Consider the following 20408-nt stretch of genomic DNA (forward strand, 5'->3'; position numbering starts at 1 on the left):
CTCCATGTAGCCTGGAGCTGAAGGGAGGGCTGCTGAGGGGAAACAGGATGCAGGGTGGGCTATGTTGGGTGTTGCGGAAGCCTGCATTCTCCACATAAAAGCAGCTTCAACCCAAGCACAGCTCACATCAATTCCTTTTTCCATAAAGAAACAAGGATTTTCTTTGCTCTCCAAAATTCCTAGGTACAGTCTGACAGGCAGGGATGGGTATATTTGCCCAGTAACCCCAAAGCCTCAAAGCAGATGGGGTTCAAAATCTTACTGCAGGGAAAGGCAATGCATGTCTGCCTACAACCTCTGCCCATGAATTTGAAGGGCCTGCACCAGAGCTGGGGAAGCCAGTTTTATGATTGGAAGTGGGTGGACAAGGAGAGACCACAGTCACCAGGAACCCTGATGGTCAGGTTGAGACATCGGGGCTTTCCTTAAAGCTAAAACAAGCAGCAAAGGAGAATTTCCAAGAAGCATGGAGGGGCCTGGTGAAATTGGCCAGGCTGGAGGGGAGGATGTCAGCCAAAGCCCATGCAGAACCTGTGGTGACAGGAATGACGGCAGCAGCCCACTGGCAGAAATCAACATCACTAAGGGCAAGGGACGCCCCCTCCCCAAGGAAAAAGACTCCAGCTCTAGGTCAGATGGTGCTGCCACCAACAGTCAAGGAGCCTTGGAGGAGGAGCCAGTGTGGGACAGGCAGGCAAAGGCGTCCGGCAGAAGGCACCTGGCCACTGGGTGGAGACCCAGGTTCACCAGCTTGGAGGTGGGGCCAGAACCCAGGTGGCTGAGACTCCCCAAGGAGTGTGCATGCAGACGGAGTACTGGGGACGCCCACAGCCAACAGGCTTGCTGAGGAGGCCAAGCACGACAGAGGCAGGGAGAGCAGAGAACAGCTGCCAGCGGCCAAGGAGAAGAGAGGGTTCTGCAAGCGCACTCTGTAACTAAAAATGCAACCAAGATACCCCAAAGGCTCAATATTGACAAGCTAATCAGAGAAACTGGCTTCATTGAGAAGGGCGAGAAAGGATAGGAGTATATCACTCCCCACTGTCACTGCTTAAGGCCCTGGGAGGTCACCATGTGCCATGCCCTATTCCAAGCACGTCACACCCCTAACGCTTTTTTTTTTTTTTTTTTTTTTTTTTTTTGAGACGGAGTCTCGCTCTGTCGCCCAGGCTGGAGTGCAGTGGCGGGATCTCGGCTCACTGCAAGCTCCGCCTCCCGGGTTCACGCCATTCTCCTGCCTCAGCCTCCCAAGTAGCTGGGACTACAGGCGCCCGCCACTACGCCCGGCTAATTTTTTGTATTTTTAGTAGAGACGGGGTTTCACCGTTTTAGCCGGGATGGTCTCGATCTCCTGACCTCGTGATCCGCCCGCCTCGGCCTCCCAAAGTGCTGGGATTACAGGCGTGAGCCACCGCGCCCGGCCACCCCTAACGCTTTTAATTGTTACCTTCCCATCCAAGTGGACTGCCCTCTGCTCACAGGTGTGGAGCTGGGCACCAAGAAGGTCAATCGAATCATACAGTACAGCAGTTGAAGAGAACCAGAACTCAAGACTCAAGAGAGTATGGCCTAGCCAACAAAGGCTGGGGACATCTGGGGCTGAGGCAGGCCACGCTCACCTTTTGTCCAAGAACACCAGAGCGGTAATGCCTGAGGAGACCTCCTCGCTGCTGCAGCACAGCACCCCTTCAATGGCGTCCCACACCTACGAGTCCAGAGGCTGTGAGCACCTGCCAGCCAGAAAGGCCCACAATCCCCGGGGCGGACAGCCGCTCTGCCCACCTTTAGCCCCTCTGCCCACCTCCAGCCGGCCGCTGCTCCGCCCCACCACGATGAGGTTGCCCTGCAGCTCCAAGCTCCAGATGGAACCCTCGGCACTGGGGGCCCAGGCGAGGGAAGGGGAGCCTTTCTCGGGGGAGCCACCCTCGTCCTCAGGGGCCTGGGACAGCACCGGCCCAGGCGAGGGTGGGCGCAGGGCTGGTGTGCAGACGGCCGCCAGCCCCTCCTCCTGGTACACCCGCTGCACCAGGCAGCTGAAGTCATAGCCTGGGGAGTCCCGAGAGCGGCCACAGACCGCCCGGTGCCGGGGCTCGGGCTGAGTGGGCTGTGAGGACCGAGGCTGCGCTGAAAAGTTGGTGTCAATTAAGCAGGTGAGGTCAGGCTGGTCCCCGAAGAGGGAAGGCGGCGGAGGGCCCCGGGGGCGGTGTCTCAGGGGAGGGCTGTCCCCAGGCTCCTCTGGACCAGCCTTCCCACCATCTGAAAGTCGTTCCCAGCTCTCCTGAGCCTCAAGCCCGCTGCCCACGCCACTGTCCCGGCGCTGCCTGCTGGGGGCCAGGAGGGCGGAGTGAGAGGGGGCACGGGGGAGGGGGGTGAGAGGGGGCGGGGGACGGGGGTGAGAGGGGGCGTGGGAGTGAGAAGGGGCAAGGGAAAAGGGGGTGGGGGGAGAGGGTGGTGCGGGGTGGGGAGAGGGGGGTACGGGGTGGTGGGAGGGGGTGCGGGGGTGGGGGGAGAGGGGGCCTGGAGGGGTTGGGGGATACCTCGGAGGAAGAAAGGAGGGGAGATACGTGGCGGCGGGGGGTGGGGTGAGGGGGGTTGTGGGGGCACAAAGGAGGAAAGGGCAGCCGCACCTACCCTGGGCGCGGAATGCGCGTTAGGCAATCCCCGGTCTGCGCGTCCCACACGCAGACGTGGCCTGCCAGGCAGCAGCTCACCAGCAGCATGCCGTCGCTGGCCAGGCACTCGATGTCCTGCAGAAGCCCGGTGTTGGTATGGGCCAGGCTCCGGCCCTCCCCTACCCGGCCACTGTGCCCCTGCTCACCATGAGGTGGCCGCGCAGCACAAGCGGCACGATCTCCGTCTCGGGTGGCGCATAGCCGTAGTCGTCGCAGGGCAGCTCCCCGCGCCTCCGCCGCCCGGGCCCACCACCCAGCTGCCCGTAGTTGCGCGGGCATAGCACGCGGTAGAGGCAGAGCAGCAGCAGCACCAAGACGATGCCGGTGGCCAGGCCCAGCGCCGCCACCCTGCACGGGAGGGCGGACTGCTGTGAGACACACCTCACAGCCTGTCCCCTCCCCTCCTCCCTCTCCCCTACTCTTGCCTACCCGTCCCCCTCCCCGCACTCTTTCCCACCCCACCCCACCCAGCAGCCTTACTTGTACAGCGTGACGTCTCCATGGGCCTGCACCCCACCTGGGCCCTTGGGTCCTGCTTCCCAGTGCCCAGCAGGTATGGGCCCCGGTGGGGGCCAGGCACTGCGGCCGTCCTGAGGGTGCCGGCCCTCCAGAGCCTCCCTCGGGTTCAGGCGGAGCGTGACTGGGATGACGGGCAGCAGGCTGATGTACCTGGATTCGGACAGTGGGCAGCCTCAGCGGGGGGCCTCCCAGGGCTTCCTCCTGCTGTGCTCGCCAGCCAGTCCTCTCCCTCCTCCCCAGGCAGGCCTCAGCTCCACCGGCCAGACTCTCCCAGCATGGGGGGTTGGGGACAGAGGTAGGTCCCTCCCCAGCCCAGCTTAGCAGCCAACTTGCTGTCCCAGATACCAGCACCCAAACAGCCCTGGTGGCCGTGTGGGGTATCTCCCTCCCCACTCCTGGCACAGGTGGGTGGGTCTCATTCTGGTGAGGGCTGGCAGCCACCAGTGACTCCTCAGAGCAACCTGGGACTCCTCTCTTGGGTTATAGCTGCCTAAACCACCAGTTCCCACCTCACAACCTTATGAACTGTTTTAATTATTTGCATAATTCAAACCTGTGGGCCTCCTGCATTGGGGAAAGGGGATGGTGAGTTGACACCATCGAGTGAGGTGGCACCTGGCACGGCCCAGCTCACCTCTTGGCCAGTGTGATGTTGTAATAGCTGAAGAGCGTCGGCCAGTGGCGGAAGGACAATTTCCTCCAAAGTTCCTCATCCTCAGGCCCCCAGGTTACCTCTGGGACTGGGCTGTCATGGACAACCTCTGCTGGACCTCCACGCTCAGGTGACTCGCCTGGCGACGTCTGGTTCTCAGGTAGCTTAGGGGCATCAGGTGGGAAGATGGAGAAGGCAGGGTCCGGGTGGCTGGGGGGCAGCATGCCACTAGGCACGGGCATGGGAGCCAGGGCTCCCTCACCCAATGGGCTCTGTTCCGTCACCTGGGCAGCGAGGTAGTTGCGCAGCCCTGCTGGGTCTGTGTATACCAGGATGCCAATCCAGACAACGGTGCCAGCCTGCAGTGGGGCAGGGGGTACTCAGTGGGAGGAATGGGCCCCAACCCCCAGCAGCTTCAGCCCTCATGCTGAGAGGAAGCAGCACAGGGACCTCAGGCCTGGGGATGGAGAGAGGACACAGGCCCCACTGCGTCCTTTTCTCCTGCCTCTCCAAGTCCTCCTGCTAACACCTGCCAACACTTGCTGCTGGAGGGGCCTGCTTGCCTTTCCACAGTTAGGGGCTGAGTTTCTTGGCCTGGAAATACACTGAAGCACCCTGAGGTTTGACACAGAATGTCCCCACCCCTAAGCTCCACCTCAGCTGGAGCCAGAAAGCTGCTACCATTCCTACGGTCAGAGGGCCAGCAACCTGACCTGCTCCAGAGTCCCCCAGAGGTCCTAGTCCCAGGGGGCCTCAGCCTTCCTCCCATCTCAGTTCAGCTCCCTGGAAGAGGCACTGCTGCCCCAAGGCCAGCCCAGCCCGGCTGGTGAATGATTTTGCCCAGCACTTTCCAGTGTCTGCACACCATGCAGCGGCCGATGAACCCGACCCAGGGCAATGTGGTGGCCACAAGTGGGTCCATCCCAGAGCACTCAACTAACAGGCTCCTGTCCTGGGCCACTCTGGGGAGAGGATGGCTCCTGTACCTGAGAACCCTGGAGCTGCTTCTCCCACAGGCTTATCTCCTCAGAAGCCACTAGGGTCTGGGCAGGGAGGACACAACGGGCAACTCCCCAGAGCCAGGCTTCCAGGGGCCACCAGGGCCTGAGGAATACCCTTTGCCACTCTAAGGCCAAGTGCAGCACCACAAGGGGCCTGGAGCACCGGCCCTCCAGAAGAGGGCAGGGCAGGGCAGGGGTGGCAGGTACCATGATGAGGCGCTGTGCCAGGCGGGTGCGGGCCAGGAAGTAGACAACACGCAGCCTCTTGGGGAGCCGCAGGTTTCGGAAGGAAGACGGCTGCAACGTGATGGTGTGGGGTGTGGACGGCCTCACAGCCAGCTGCCGCTCGTAGCGCGTTGGCTGTCCCACTGGCTTGGCTGAGGGCAGGCAGGCCTCAGGGGGCAGTCGCTTGTTCAGGTCTGCTAGCTGTTGGGGGCACAGTGGTCAGGGCCTGAGTCCACCATCCAGAGGCTGCTCGCACAGGACCGCTGTCCTGCCCGAGGTCTACACCCTTCTCACCCAGGACTCCCTCAGTACAGCCAGGGCTGAGGAGGCGGGCAGGGCAGGGCTCAGCCCACTCCTACCTCCATCCGGCGAATGTCAATGGACAGGACAGTGGTGAAAAACAGCATCTGAAGGAAGAAGTCAGACACCAGCCCCACGACAGCAAAGAGACAGAACTCCTGGAATCAGAGCACATGGGGATGGGGGGGTGCCGTGACCTCACTGTCCCAGCCCAAGAGGAGCAGTACCCGGACTGCAGCCACCTCATAACCGGCAGGGCAGCAGCAGGCAGGGCACAGCAGAGATGAGAGATGCTGGTTGGTCCTCAGCTCACATACCAGCAGCAGCTCACCCCGTCTCCACCAGGGGGCAGAAGAAACCCTCACACTTTCTTCAGAAAGGGCTGAAAGGGAAGGGGAAGTACCTTCCCTGAATCTTCCGGTCCCTCTAGAGGGGACTGAAGGCCTGATCCAACCCGGAAACCTCTAAGCCCCACCAGCCTGCTCCCCAAAAAGTCCTTCCCCACTGAGCCCCCGCCCTGCTCATGCATCACCAACCCAGCTAGAGCCCAGGCCTGATTCAGGGGCTCTCAGAAAGGTTCCCAGCCAGCAACTGCCCCGGAACAATGAAGAGAGAGAGAGAGGGATTAATTCTCTAAAACTGAAAAAGGGTGAGCTCTCTGCTCCCCAAGCTCTGTCAGCAGACAAAATTTTCTGAGATGTCGGTGTTGAGACCTCTAGCACATCACCACAGTGCTACTCCGATCTGGGGTAAGACCATGGAGTGCAGATAGTGGCACAGTGGTTGTCTCAGCTCTAACGTCCCAAGACTGTACCCTATCCTGCAGATACTACTGTTTTTCCAGGAGAAGCAGCCCACAGCCCATCTGTTCTCTGCTCACCCCCATCCCTCAGCTGGCCTGCCAGCCCTGGGGGAAAGACGGGCGAGAAAAGATGGCATCCTCCCCTTCCTGCAACTCCTTCTGGAATGGCTGGCATCAGTCTGGGGTTCCAGCTCAGTGCAGGGCCACCTCCACCTCTGCTCACAGCCCACAGCTGAGTGAGGGCACTTTGCCAAGAGCAGGGTCACTCTGGGCAATGGGTGGTGGCCCTCCCACTGGTCAGGCCAGGCAAGGCCATGCGTCTGGCGACTGCGGCACAGGCCAGGGCCAAGGGAGGAGACCGGAGGAAGGGTCTAGGAACCCCACGGTGCTTCTCCCTCAAAAATGGGAAACAGGTGTGACAAACTGCACAGCCAGTCCCCAGCTCCTGCCATGCCCTTGCAGCCTCCTCCTGCCACTTGGCTGAAAGGGAAGCAGGCAGGGAGGGGTAGGAAGACAGGGTCAAGGGCAGAGTCTGCCTGGCTAGGTGCTCAATCTGGGAACCCAGCCAGGGTTTGCTGAGCACTTCTGAGCCAGGCATGCCAGGGGCCATCTGGGTGCTGTAGTGATCTGCTTGCCAGGCAAAGAGGTCCCACCTCAGAAGCAAGGATGCCTGTGCTGAAGAGGGGAGCACCCTGCCCATGGCTGCACAGCTGGGGAGCACAGCAGTTGCTTCCATGCTCATCCAGGTGGCAGGCCTTGGGGCCTTACCTGGATGGCGGGCACTAGGGTGAAGTAGCCGATGAGGATGATGCCCAGCTCCGTGGCCATGTTCTTCATGATGGACCAGCTCTCGCTGCTTAGGCCTGCAGAGGGCAGCAACAGGGCACAGGGCAACACATGGCCACTCTGCGACATGACTCACACAACCTCATGGGCCTCGGAGTGGCAGAGGCATGGCAAGGCCCCCCAGCCCTTTGAAGGAGCCATTCCACCAAAGCACCCCAACCCTCAGGGTCCTGCTAATGCCCAGACTTTAAGGGGCCATCACCACCACACAGCTGCTACGGGGAACGGGTGTTCACAGCCTGGAGGGTGCAGAGGAGAGCTATAATCATCAAAAGAGGGAAGAAGCAGAGTGTGGAGATGAGAAAATCCACAAGGAAAGCCAAGTGCCACCCACAACAACCACATCCAACCTCCGCATGTGGTTCTTGTCTGGTCTGCACGGGCCAGCATGACAGTGTGCCCATCAACCACATGGCAGAAGCACTCGGCGGGTAGAGGACCTGGCTGCGTTCTTCCTCAAGCCCCTTCCTGTAGTGAGCCCTGATCCCACGCTATCACACTGTCGCATGTCTAAGGCTCTGTGCTCTTACTGGGTAAGGACAATTTCGCCCCATCTCTTCCTAACTCCATATCCAGCACAGGGCCTGGCTTATCACAGAGGCTCACAGAGGTCTGGATGAATGGACGGCTGCCTACAGCCCCATTCCTCACAGACATGGGGTGACGAGGAAGAAGAGGCTCAAGTGACCAGGCCTCCAAGGCCAGGCTCTCCCTTTTCTCATTTTCCCTAGAACCCCAGATCCCCAGTTTCTACCAGCAGGGCCAGAGGGAGCTTTTCTGGCAGCCGTGAAGGCAGCGTCTCTGAAATGGCCAGCCCCCGGGGCTTGGGCCTAGTGTGCTGGAGTGAGGCAGTAAGAGAAAATACTAGGCGCTAAACTCCCCAGACAGAAAGCCACCACCAAACACAAGCCCCACCCACACTGAAGTGCAGTGGTGTGATCACGGCTCACTGCAGCTTTGACCTCCCAGGCTCAAGCAATCCTCCCACCTCAGCCTCTTGAGTAGGTGGGACCACAGGTGCATGCCAATATGCCCTGCTAATTTTTCTATCTTTTGTAGACATGGGGTTTCACCATGTTGCCCAGGCTGGTCTTGAACTCCTGGGCTCAAGTGATCCACCTGCCTCAGCCTCCCAAAGTGCTGGGATTACAGGTGTGAGCCATGGCACCCAGCCTGGTTTACTTTCTTACTGACACATGAACCAGGACGAAGTACAGTCCAATGGCCCCATGGCTCCCCAGGGCACACACTCAAGAGCTGCCAGGGCCCAGTGGCCCACTGCATATTATGCCGGAGGCAAGAGCAAGGGACATTTCAAGGGCTCTGTTTGCTCACAGAGCGTTAACAGCAAGAGGAACAGGCCCCATTCCAGCCCCTCCTGCAGCCCTCTGCCCAACTCTCCCACTGCGTTACCTTGGGCGATCCGCAGCTTCACCTCCAGGTCTACCGGGGTTGAGACCACAGACTTGGTGAGCACCAACACATTCTCTAACCCAATAACCACCACAAGGTAGGGGAAAATCTCGCTGGGGACAGAGAAGGAGAAGGTGAGGACAGTGTTGTGGTGGTTCCCAACAGACTGGGGCCCTCAGGAAGGCTGTGGGGTTTCCAGCCTGTCATGGGGGCTGCTGAGTGACTCCCACAGGTGCTGGGCAGAAACCCTCCCTTGTCCACCTCACCCAACAAGACCTGCATCTACACAGCACTCAGCTTTCAGGCAGGCTCCAGAGCCTTGCAGAGGGGCCAGCAGCCATCCTGTCTCTAGCCATCCAGCACAGGAGGGCTGGAAGAGGCCCCTCAGGGAGAGCTGTGCAGCGCCACTGCTAGACCACACTTCTGCTGGCCCTTCCCAGGAGAAGACTGCTGGCTAAAGACAATGACTGCTGCCAAGACCCACACCAGTAACTCTGGGTGGACCCATCACAGCTAAATGCAAGGAGATGAAACCATCCTGAAGGCCCACTCACCTTTGTTGAGAAGCTGTGTGTGGAGAAGAACGACTGTTCCTACACAAAGCTCTACCAGCTATCTGAGCCCACTGTCCCACACTCCCCGCAGCAAACCCTAAGAAAGTCTATGTGCGAGGAACGCCAGCCAAGTTATACCTTGCAGGACCTCTGCTTTGGAGCCGAAGGAAGGGAGGGCCCTGTGAAGGGTATGGCAGACGGTATGGGGGAGGGTGGTGTTTAACAGTGTCAAGCTCAGGAAAGGGAGCAGGTATCTAAGAGCAACGAAACTACCAGAAACAAAATACGACGTCGCTTTTCATACGACCAGCCTGATGGGCCAAAGTGGTGGACAGGCCAATCCATAATCCATTAATAACCATTAATAGACAGGCAGGCGGGCCTAGCCAGAGCCAAGATCAAAGCCTGAGGACAAGCCGAGGGAAGGGCTTCCAGACTAAGGTTCAGAGAGGAGTGGCAAGGGGAAAGTAAACATCAGTGAAAAAGGCGACAAATTACAGTGTGCTCATATCTTCCAAAGAGCTTCCTCTAAAATGACCTATTTCATTAGGCATTTAAATGTTCTAATCATGAAAAAAAAAATGTTCTCTTCTCTATCTCACACCTCCAGTGGCTTAAGCCATCAAGCTGCAGTGTGTGTGTGGTGTGTGTATATAGAATACATAAACACAGACACACAAATCCGACTACACACATGCAATACATACTCATGTATACACAAACATACCAACACACACCCCTTATATACACACCCAGCCCACAAATATGCACTTTTGTACATATGGACACTCACTATAGCTAGATATGCTATATACAAACACAAGTATGAATACAAGCCAGACAAAGAAGAGGAAGAAAATGTACCTCTTAAATGTCAAAAACAACAATGTGAAGACGTGAGGTCACAGCAAAGTCCAGGGAAGGCCAAGAACCCAGAAGTGCAAGGCTCTCTGGCCTGAGCCCACCCTGTGGCCCAGTGGAGCCTGCTAGGGACCTACCCGCCATTGAGGGTGGGCGTCAGGCCGAAGAGTGTGCAGAGTCCCACAGACATGAGCAGCGAGCTGAGCACTGTGACCACGGCAGCCAGGGCCAGCCCCCACTTGGACTTGACCATGTCGATCTTCCCTGGAGGGCAGAGAGGGCGTATCAGGGCGGCCCCTCCCCCAGCCCCCGGCCCACTGGGGCTCCCGGGAGTAGGTTGCCCTGACAGTCGAGGAAGGGAAAACTCCTGGTTTCACCAAAGGAAAGGGACAGGCACAAGCACTTCCCAGTGTCATGGACACAGTACACCTTTTAGGAACCCTAACCCAGGAAGGGGCTGAAAGTGGGAAGAGCCCCGGCCCCACCCAAGCTCCTAAGACCCTGCTGGGGGACAAAGCCCTAGCTCTGATGACCACCAGGTGTGTTCTATCTCTCTACCCCAAGCCACCTCCAGAGCCAGGGAAGCAGGTGACATGGAAATGCCCGTTTAGCTTGGAGAAAGCCCTCAGCCTCCCTGCCATGAACCTACGCGTGGAGAAGTAGATGTAGGCAAACAAGATGATGTAGGTGGTCACAAGGGGGATGAGCTCAGCGACACCAATCTCCTCCTTGAAGTGCACGTGGACCAGGCTCTCCGCCCGAAGGCTGCAGTTGGGGCTGGGGTGCAGAAGCATCAGGCGGGCACGCAGGCTGCCCAGGAACCTGGTCAAGGAGCAGGGTGGGGGTAAATGGAAGTGTTGCTCTTGGTTCTGGGGACAAAGACAATCCCCGGACAGAGGGTCCATCAGGACCTCCCTCCTGCCCCTGTGTTGAAAGGGAACTTCTCTATGGTGCCTGAGCTTCTCTATAGTCTCCAGGGGCACTGGGAAAATCACAAAGGGGACAAAGTTTTCTCAGGAGCTCCCCCTGCTCCTTTCTTTGTCTCCCTTTCCGGACCTACTCCAACACTCTCTTTTTTATTTATTTATTTATTTTATTTTTTATTTTTTGAGACAAGAGTCTCGCTGTCGCCCAGGCTGGAGTGCAGTGGCGCCATCTGGGCTCACTGCAAGCTCCGCCTCCTGGGTTCACACCATCCTCCTGCCTCAGCCTCCCGAGTAGCTGGGACTACAGGTGCCCACCACCACGCCCGGCTAATTTTTTGTATTTTTAGTAGAGACGGGGTTTCACCGTGTTAGCCAGGATGGTCTCGATCTCCTGACCTCATGATCCGCCTGCCTCGGCCTCCCAAAGTCTGGGATTACAGGCGTGAGCCACCGCGCCCGGCCTCCAACACTCTTGATTGCCAGAGGCCTAGGAGAGCCGATCAGAAGCACCTCGAGTGCCCTTGCCAATTGGGGAGCTGCCTGCAGTGCCCCACTGGGAAGGACACAGGCCATATAGGGTGCTCAGTAGTAACCAGCTGGGGATGCCTGCCCTAGGCTCAAGAGAGACCAGAGGAGGCACCAGGACACTGAGACCGCCAGCCCTACCTTAGTCCCCTATGCTTAACCAGCTGTCAGGTCATCCCCATTAAAATGTGGTAGACAGCATCATCTAGTCTGAGGGATGTAAACATTCAACAGGAGGCCTGGAAACTCTCCCAAGTTTCCAGGGGGCATTCAGAACACTCTAACCAGAAGAGGGACTACTCAAAGCCTCATGTCACCCAGCAGACCAGTCAAGAGCCCAGGGTACTGTCAATCTTACTTGGCATGGTAGTGCTGGAAGACCAGGGTGATGGTGTAGGAGACCATCCTCTTCCTGGTGTAGAGGCTCACCCCGCTGTACTTCCCAGGAACACCAAATAACAAGTCTGCAAGCAGAAACCAGCAGGTACTGACACAGAAATGACAGCTACTGCAGAGCCACCAAGGACCCCTTTCTCACCCCCACCCTGGGAAACAAAGGGTAAACCCTGATCTGCCTAAGCACACATCAAAAAGACGGTGACCAATGGGCACCTTTACAGGTCTGAAGGGAACTTGTACTGGGGCTACCTTTGAGTGTGGCTGAAGTCTGCAGGGTTTTAGGCTCGTGCTGGTGGATGGTCCCAATGATGTCAGGATCAGCATGGAAGCGTTCCCAGTCATTCTGCCAGAAGTTCCCAGGGGACAGCAGCAGGCATCCATGCTCAGGGAGTAGGTTCCTGAGCTTCCTAAGGCCTGGCAGCAGGTCGGTCACTTGCAGACACAACTCCTCCAAGCTCCTGATCCCAGAGCTGCACAGGAGACAGGACAAGGCACCTGCTGTGTCTGCCACCACAGGGCAGACCTGCTGTACTTAGGGGACATCCTCTGTCTGTTCTTCAATGCCCCATATTTGCTCTCTGGTATCGCCAAAGAGCCTGACCACTAGGGCAGCAGGGGGAAGTACTTCCAGGTGGCCAATAACCTAAACATGTGGCTGTCTGACTTTCAAAGTGCATCTGAAGCCCAAAAGCCCATCAGCTCTGAGGACGGGCAAGTGTACTATAAGAGCATGCACAACCCCACCCACTAAAACACCCTGGCCAGTTCAGTGGATGAGCAGGGACCGGGGTAAATTAGGGGCTTCATTTAGTTCACCAAAATATCTGTCAACGCCACTAGCTAACTAAAACCTGGCAGTGATGCAGCTTGCCAATTACACACATTGTATGCCAAGCCAGCATAACCCAGGGACCCACTGATAGGCAGGGGAGCACGACTTGGGCTGGGGCTTCAGAAGGTACCCCCAGGTAGAGCTTGCTTCTCGTCGGCAGAGACACCACCATTACATTCACACCATAACCCACAGGCAGGAAGCCATGTGGGTCATGAGTTAGCACAGTGGACACTGACTCCATCTGAGATGTAAGGATGAGACTCAAGGCTATGTGTGTGCCATCTGCATAGGTCCAAGCGGAATGCAGCCACCGTAGACCCACAAGGATGCTGAGAAATTCAAGGCTAGCTCACCCTCCATCCTTCTTGCTTGTTCTATCTCTGCAGAGCTGACTGGCTCACTGCAGTTACACTGAGGACTGTAACTCTCCCTTCAGTACAGAATGGGATTCAGGGAGGCCAGGGTCCCTGAGAGGGGTACCTGTCTCTCAGCACGTGGTTCCGGATCTCCTCCACCAGTTGGAATGCCCGGGACAAAGGTGAACGAAATACATCTACTGCCAGGAGGTTCTTGTGCCAGGGAAACACTGAGGACTTCACAAATATCTGCTGGACATAAGCCACCGGGGCACCCACATACTGCAGAAGAAATGAGGGAGGGCAGAAAGGGCAGCTGAGCACAGGAAGAAGAAAGACGGTCCAATTCAAGGGATTTAATGGGCATTGGAAACCGTGCCCCACAGAGTTAAAGAAACCAATGACTAATACAAGTTCTTGAGTTTGCAGGATGGCAGATAAGAAAAGAAACAATTTGCTGAAACCCAGAAACTCCCTCCGCTTATGAGATAAAAGAACTGGCTGAAATAAGCTGGAACCAAGATGGCCGACTGGAGTTGTGCAGAATGAGCTTGCCGATGTCACAGCCTGAATTTCCACTGCCATGTTTCATACTAACTCCCCCCGGAATTTGCACATGGGACCTGTGAGGTGGCATCAAGAGATAACTGGGCATGCTCAAAGACTTCCCAGAAATCACCCTTCCTTCCATCAATCATCTGCTAATCCTAGTATCCACCCTCTAAACCTTTCCTAATAAAATTACTGCCTTAAAGCCAGCACAGGGAGACAGATTTGAGCTGGACTCCGGTCTCCTAGGGAGTCAACCTTCAATATAAAGCTTTTCTTTTCCCCAAATCCTGGTGTCACAGTATTGGCTTCTAGCACATTGGGCAGCGAGCCTCTTTTGCTCAATAACACATCTACTATGGGCAAAGCACTGTGGGACCAGGTGTAGGCAAACGATGGCCTGTAGGCCAAATCAGGGCCCATGCCTGTTTTTCTTTTTGAGACAGGGTCTTGCTCTATTGCCCAATCATGGCTCACTGAAACCTCAATCTCCCAGGCTCAAGAGATCCTCCCACCTCAGCACCCCCACCCACCAAGTAGCTGAGACTAGAGGTGTGTGCACCACCACCACGCCTAATTTTCAAAAATGTTTTGTAGGGACAGGGTATCACTATGTTGCCAGGCTGGTCTCGAACTCCTGGGCTCAAGTGATCCTCCCATTTTGGCCTCCCGAAGTGCCACACCTGGCTAACTTCTTTATTTTCTGTAGAGATGGGGTCTCACTATGTTGCCCAGGCTGGTTAGTGCCTGTTTTTCCACTTCCAATTTTTACTGAAGCACAGCCACACCCCTACCATTACTATTGTCTATGGCTGCTTTCACTCTACAACAGCAGGGTCAAATGGCTGCAACAGAGGCCGTCTGGCCCGCAAAGCCTAAATGTTTACTATCTAGCCCTTTATGGAACATGTCTGCTGACCGCACTATAGACTCTACACTCCCCAAAGCATGTAACCTGTCTTACTGATTCAGGTTTTGTCACTTGCAGCAGAGTAGCGGGTTTTGAAGATCAAAGGACCCAATTTTAAATCACAGCTTTCCAAACATATGGCCTTGAAAACACTTTTGACATCTCTGGATTTCAATTTCCTCATTGTGAAACAGGAATAACGACATTCACCCTGCAGCATCAAGATGTATGCACACACCACACACGCATACAAACAGTGTCTGAAAGATTAGCAGAAATATTAACAATGAACAATCAGGCATTTCACTTCATCTGACCCTCACAACAGCCTGATGAGAAGCAAGGAGAGGCTCAGGCATTGTGCCTGCCTAGAGCTTCACACTCCAGGCAGGGTGGTGTAAGGACTCAAACCAAGGTCTCCTCACTAAATATCACATACTTTTCTCACTAGAATCTGCCATCTACCTTTCAAGAGCTTAACAGGGATGTAAATGACAAGAGTGTTCACATATGCAACCCTCAGTAACAGGCATGTCGCGGAGCACCCCAAAACATGCTGGGTCAGCCACAGCAGAGTTATGGCCCAGGAGAAGCTGAGTAGAGCCATAAGGTTAGAAAAGAACAGGTAGGAGAGGAGCAGGAGGGAATGTGAGTTGCAAGGGATGCTGAGAGCACAGAAGGCCTGGACATCTGCACCAAGGAAACCTGTCAGGGGATAACAGAAATTACGAGGAAGATGACAAGCAGGCTTAGACTGAAGCCTGACTGAGCTGTCAGGATTTTAATCAGTTGACAAAGCAAAGCCCAGTGTCTCTGAGGTGAAGGGGCAACCTGATGAAAGCAGTGCTCTGTAAAGACTCCCCGGGAGTTGGTGACAACTGGAGACAAGGAAACATGGCCCTAGACAGCGGTGTACTGCGAGGTGTGGACTGAAGGGGGCAGGGCCCAGCCCAGCTGAGGGATGAGGGGCTGTCTCCACGCCTGGGCTGCAGTCGGGAACTCCAAGGGGCATGCGTGTGGATGAAAGGGAGGCCATGGAGCCACTCACCAATGCAGTACTCCAGGTTACAGCATAGGCAAGGGCCAAGATGCTGACCAAGCACAGCAAGTTAATGCCTCCTGGGACCCTGGGCACAAAGGAACAACCAGAGGCAACCGTCTGAGCCTTTGTGAACTTTATGTGGCTGTGCCTTAGTGAGGGCTCTGGGGACAGAAGGCCTCATCCACTTTGTCTTCTGTATCACGCTCAGCCACTAGAAGCTGCTGGGAGGCACAGAGGCACCTGGATGGAGCTGGCTGCCACAGGCTATGACCAGAACAGAAGCTCACACAGGTCTGAGCAGGAAAGGAGCACTAACCTGGTAAGGAAGATGTGGGCAGGGCCCACACTCACTGTGCTGAGTGAACTCCCACAATCCCTACTTTACAGCACAAAGACTGAATCTTAATGTACGTGAATTTTTAAATAATTTAGGAGGCTGAGGTATATAAAAAGAAGGACATTTCATCTCTGTAGTCCTCCTTCTGAAAACCAAAGTCCACAGTGAAATTCTTAACCAAAGTCCAAAGTATATTCAGGTTTTCTAAGTTTTTGCCTAATGTCCTTTTTCTTTTCCAGGATCCCATCCAGGAAACCACGTTACGTTTAGCTGTAGTGTCTGAGGCTTCTTGTAGCTTGTGACAGTTTCTCAGACTTCCCTTGCTTTTGATGATCTTGGCAGCTTCAAGGGGTACTGGTCAGGCATTTTGTAGGGTGTTCCTCAACTAGGATTTGTCTGATGTTTTACTTCTAATTATACTGCGGTTATGGGTTTGGGAGAGGAAGATCAGCGGTAAAATGTCCTCCTCCTCCTCACATATCAAGGGCACAATCAATCAATGTGATTTATCACTGCTGCTTTAACCCCAATCACTTACTGTAGGAGGTGTCTGTCAGGCTTCTTCACTGTAAAGTTACTTTTTCCCACAGTCACACTGTCCTCTTTGGAAGAAAGTCATCATGCATAGTCCACACTTTAGGATACATTACTTAGAATTTTTTTGCCCAGGAGATTTGTCTATTGTCATCCATTCATTTATTTATATTTATTCAAGCATATGGACTCAGGAATGGACTCACAGAGAATTATTTTATATTTTGGGTCTTAATTCAATACCAGTTTATTTTGTTGCAAAAATTGCTCTAGGCCAGGCATGGTGGCTCACGCCTGTAATCCCAGCACTTTGGGAGGCCGAGGCGGATGGATCAATCACAAGATCAGGAGATCAAGACCATCCTGGCCAACATGGTGAAACCCCGTCTCTACTAAAATACAAAAAATTAGCCAGGCGTGGTGGTGCGTGCCTGTAGTCCCAGCTACTCGGGAGGCTGAGGCAGGGGAATCACTTGAACCCGGGAGGCGGAGGTTCCAGTGAGCTGAGATCGCGCCACTGCACTCCAGCCTAGCGAAAGCAAGACTCCGTCTTGAAAAAAAAAAAAAAAAAAGAAAAGAAAAAGGAAAAAAAAAAAGAAAAAAAAATTGCTCTAGCACTGACCACTGGGGAGCTCTTTCGATTGCCCCCCTATGTCTCTTTGACATACACTATATTTACTTTAAACTTTGAAAAATCTTTGTCTTCTCTTTCCAAACAGTATAGGATCTCCTCAAGGACAGTGAGCCTCTATCTGTCCCCCACATCATCCCACACCACGCGTATGCAATAAACGAGTGCTGAACTCAGCAGTGAGTCGAGTAGGGAAGGAAGTTTTGGCTCCTTCGTATAGGCAGCAGATGCCTGCAATGTACTGTCTACTGCCCGAGTCTCCTATTTTCCCTTTTTTAAAATTTATTTATTTTTTATTTTTTTAGAGACAAGGTCTCACTCTATTGCCCCAGCTGGACTGCAATGGTGTGATCATGGCTCACTGCAGCCTTAAACTCCTGGGCTCAAGCGATCCTCCTGCCTCAGTACTGGGATTACAGGTATGCACCACTGCACCCGGCCCTATTGTCCCTTTGGAAACCATCCTCTCTCATTCCCAGCAAGGTGCTGACAACAACAATGAAATACCTGCCTTTAGCCATAGGGCTTGGGAAGGGGACAGGCAGGTAACCCTATTCATAGCCAACTGGGCTCCCTTTTATCCTCCACTGGATTGGATGATGCAAAAACATGGGGCTGAAGCTGCTAGGGCCACTGTTGGGAAGACCAAAAGTGAAGCTGACCCAGAGAGGACAAAGTCAAGAGATGGACTCCTTTTGAGGCTCAAACTATATCGTGCTTAAGTCAGCCCTGCACCTGGCTGAGTTATATGAACCAAAAATTCCCTTTCACTTACTCTGATTTGGGTTGAATTTCCTGTTCTTCATAACTAAAACAGTCCTTACCACCCACTTCAGTATCGCTGGCCTGTATCTTTATCAAGGACAGCCAATGGAGGTGAGATAACTGACCACTGAGCTGTGTGACACCAGGTGACTGCCCTGGGCCCATCTCCTTCTCAATCCTGCAGGGGATGAGCGCTCCAATCAGAGAGAGAGGAAATGGACAATGCTCCTGATTCCCGAGCCCTCTAGTTATTCTGCACCAACACTTTCTATCATCATCCCATCATTCAAAGAGCTCACAAACACATCACACCCCTTACGGCCTCATCATTAAACATCTATTCCACACCAATGGGCCAAATGAACTCTCCTAGTCAGGAAACACAAATATTCCCTTATGTGCTAACATTGCATTAAAAGGTTAATGAAGTCCGGACACAATGGCTCACGCCTGTAATCCCAGCACTTTGGGAGGCTGAGGCAGGTGGATCACCTGAGGTCAGGAGTTTGAGACCAGCCTGGCCAACATGGTGAAACCCCACCCCTACTAAAAATACAAAAATTAGCCGGGTGTGGTGGCAACATGCCTGTAGTCCCAGGTACTCAGGAGGCTGAGGCAGGAGAATCGCTTTCAACCCAGGAGACAGAGGTTGCAATGAGCTGAGATCACGCCACTGTACTCCACCCTGGGCAACAGAGTGAGACTCCATCTCAAAACAATAAAAAAAAAATGGTTAATGAAGGTAAAAGGTTTAAGCAAGAAGGTCCCACAATGAGCCAGTGAGCCAATGGCCAACCTGGGACATAAAGCCACAAAACTGGTTTCACCACAAAACTGGTTTCAGCCAGCATCAGACCATGCATCCTTTGACCTTCATAGGCAGAGCCTCATGAAGCCAGGGTGGTGCACTCCCCACTGACACCATGTATAGTTGTGCCACAGACCTATCTTGCCAGATATGCCTCTATTTCAGCCGCAGAGTCAAGTTCATAACAAGTTACCTGACTACTACGTTAACCAAAAAGGAAATGGGAATATGCTATGACTGTCAGAGAGAAGGGGGAGGAGAGCTCTGTTCGCTGAGCTTTGGTTTTCCTCAACAACAGATTCAGCAAGTCCAGCACGAATCCAGGGACCACAGAACAACACAGAAGAAAGGGCACTTTGTCCACACCTGACAGGCAAAAGGTACACAGATGAGCTAGTCAAGCTTCAATGAGCTCCAAATAATGAGTGCGGTGTGATGGTGAGTTAGGTCCCTTGACTGAGCCCCTCAACTGAAGACCTTTTTTCTCATTTATATCAGTGTTCGGCCCAGAGACAGTCAACTGAAAACAGTACAGTCCAGAAGGAGGAGTGGGCTGGGGTCAGGAGACCTAGAGTTCCAAACTAAATAACTGGCCAGGTGCGGTGGCTCACGCCTGTAATCCCAGCACTTTGGGAGGCCAAGGCGGGTAGATCACCCAAGGTCAGGAGTTCGAGACCAGCTTGGCCAACATAGTGAAACTCCATCTCTAATAAAAATACAAAATTAGTTGGGCGTGGTGGCGCACACCTACAGTCCCAGCTAATCGGGAGGCTGAGGCAGGAGAATCACTTGAACCCGGGAGGCGGAGGTTGCAGTGAGCCGAGATTGTGCCATTGCACTCCAGCCTGGACAACAGGAGCAAAACTCCATCTCAAAAAAAAATGTATAAACTAAGTATCTATATGGTACACTGATAAAGCTGTTAAAGTACATGAATTCACAAATCAGAAGCTGACCAACCTCAATCTCACTGGCAGACCCCTGCCTCAGCCAGTCTCCACCCAACGCTCTGTGCTGGCCTCAGGAACATGACGAGTACCCACCCACTCAGGCTGCTCAGTAGGCTCTCCTTGTTTGCGGTCAGAGTCCACAGGTGGGGGCGAGTAATCCTTCACAGGGGTGGTGAATTCCACAGGTCCTGTTCCTGGCAAGGGGAGTTTCAGCAGTGGGTAGCTGGGATGTACAAAAAGGAGATAAGAATTAGACACTATGAGAGGCAGTCCTCTCTCAGCACTGACACAGGAGCCACTGGAGTTAATAACTAAATTCTGTCAGGACTGTACAAATGTGCAAAATATTAGAATCACAAAATTGCAAAGCTGAAACTCAGAAGTCATCTAGATTAGAATTTTTCAAACTTATTTTAGTCACATAAACCTTACGAAGAAGCCCAACTGGTAAAATAGACTGTTCTGTTAAATGTTTTCAGGCTGTATAAGCTAAGTATGTATAAATATACTTAGTTATAACATTATATATAACATTAACATATATAATATAAACATACACACACACACACACACACACACACACACACACACACACACACACACAGATAGATAGGCGCCTGCCACTACATCCAGGTAATTTTTGTATTTTTAGTGGAGACGGGGTTTCATCATGTTGACCAGGCTGGTCTTAAAACTCCTGACCTCAGGTGATCCACCCACCTCAGCCTCCCAAAGTGCTGAGATTACAGGCGTAAGCAACCGTGCCTGGCTAGTTTATACATTTAATGAGTAACTTTTACTGAAAGGAAACACCAACATGTTATAATATATAACATTATATTAATATTTTCAGGCTGGGCGCAGTGGGTTATGCCTGTAACCCCAGCACTTTGGGAGGCCCAGGCTGGAGGGCTGCTTGAGCCCAGAAGTTTGAGACCAGCCTGGACAACATAGTGAGACCTCATCTCTACAGAAAATCAAAAAAATTAGCCAGGC

The 20408-nt window shown here is 54.0% G+C and overlaps 1 protein-coding gene across 19 annotated transcripts in view, besides 3 other annotated features; it reads right to left on the minus strand.

Annotated features, from left to right (window-relative positions):
- Positions 1-20408, minus strand: part of SCAP (SREBF chaperone) — a 63447-nt gene that overhangs the window by 1822 nt on the left and 41217 nt on the right. For 8 of the 19 annotated variants that reach the window (XM_011533501.2, NM_012235.4, XM_017005918.2 and 5 more), the window contains 16 exons: positions 19506-19635; positions 13011-13168; positions 11945-12165; positions 11655-11760; positions 10495-10667; positions 9983-10109; positions 8431-8543; positions 6940-7034; positions 5429-5527; positions 5052-5270; positions 3826-4202; positions 3153-3341; positions 2819-3020; positions 2632-2747; positions 1802-2324; positions 1620-1705 (listed from right to left, as the gene is read on the minus strand). In XM_011533501.2, the coding sequence (XP_011531803.1) occupies positions 1620-1705; positions 1802-2324; positions 2632-2747; positions 2819-3020; positions 3153-3341; positions 3826-4202; positions 5052-5270; positions 5429-5527; positions 6940-7034; positions 8431-8543; positions 9983-10109; positions 10495-10667; positions 11655-11760; positions 11945-12165; positions 13011-13168; positions 19506-19635 (2934 nt within the window). Of the gene's footprint in view, positions 1-1619; positions 1706-1801; positions 2325-2631; positions 2748-2818; positions 3021-3152; positions 3342-3825; positions 4203-5051; positions 5271-5428; positions 5528-6939; positions 7035-8430; positions 8544-9982; positions 10110-10494; positions 10668-11654; positions 11761-11944; positions 12166-13010; positions 13169-19422; positions 19636-20408 lie in introns of those variants that run through there. The other 11 variants (XM_005264967.3, XM_047447740.1, XM_047447739.1 and 8 more) reach the window with 7 other exon arrangements.
- Positions 277-778: an enhancer, noted in NCBI's record as "H3K4me1 hESC enhancer chr3:47457269-47457770 (GRCh37/hg19 assembly coordinates)". NCBI's record gives its function as "activates a minimal SCP1, AML or CMV promoter by ChIP-STARR-seq in naive H9 embryonic stem cells {active_cell/tissue: H9 hESC(naive)}" and the evidence as "EXISTENCE:reporter gene assay evidence [ECO:0000049][PMID:30033119]".
- Positions 779-1278: an enhancer, noted in NCBI's record as "H3K4me1 hESC enhancer chr3:47457771-47458270 (GRCh37/hg19 assembly coordinates)". NCBI's record gives its function as "activates a minimal SCP1, AML or CMV promoter by ChIP-STARR-seq in naive H9 embryonic stem cells {active_cell/tissue: H9 hESC(naive)}" and the evidence as "EXISTENCE:reporter gene assay evidence [ECO:0000049][PMID:30033119]".
- Positions 6010-6059: an enhancer, noted in NCBI's record as "active region_19815". NCBI's record gives its function as "activates an Ori minimal core promoter by ATAC-STARR-seq in GM12878 lymphoblastoid cells {active_cell/tissue: GM12878}" and the evidence as "EXISTENCE:reporter gene assay evidence [ECO:0000049][PMID:35858748]".

Source organism: Homo sapiens, chromosome 3 (assembly GCF_000001405.40).
Source record: "Homo sapiens chromosome 3, GRCh38.p14 Primary Assembly".
Classification (NCBI taxonomy): domain Eukaryota; kingdom Metazoa; phylum Chordata; class Mammalia; order Primates; family Hominidae; genus Homo; species Homo sapiens.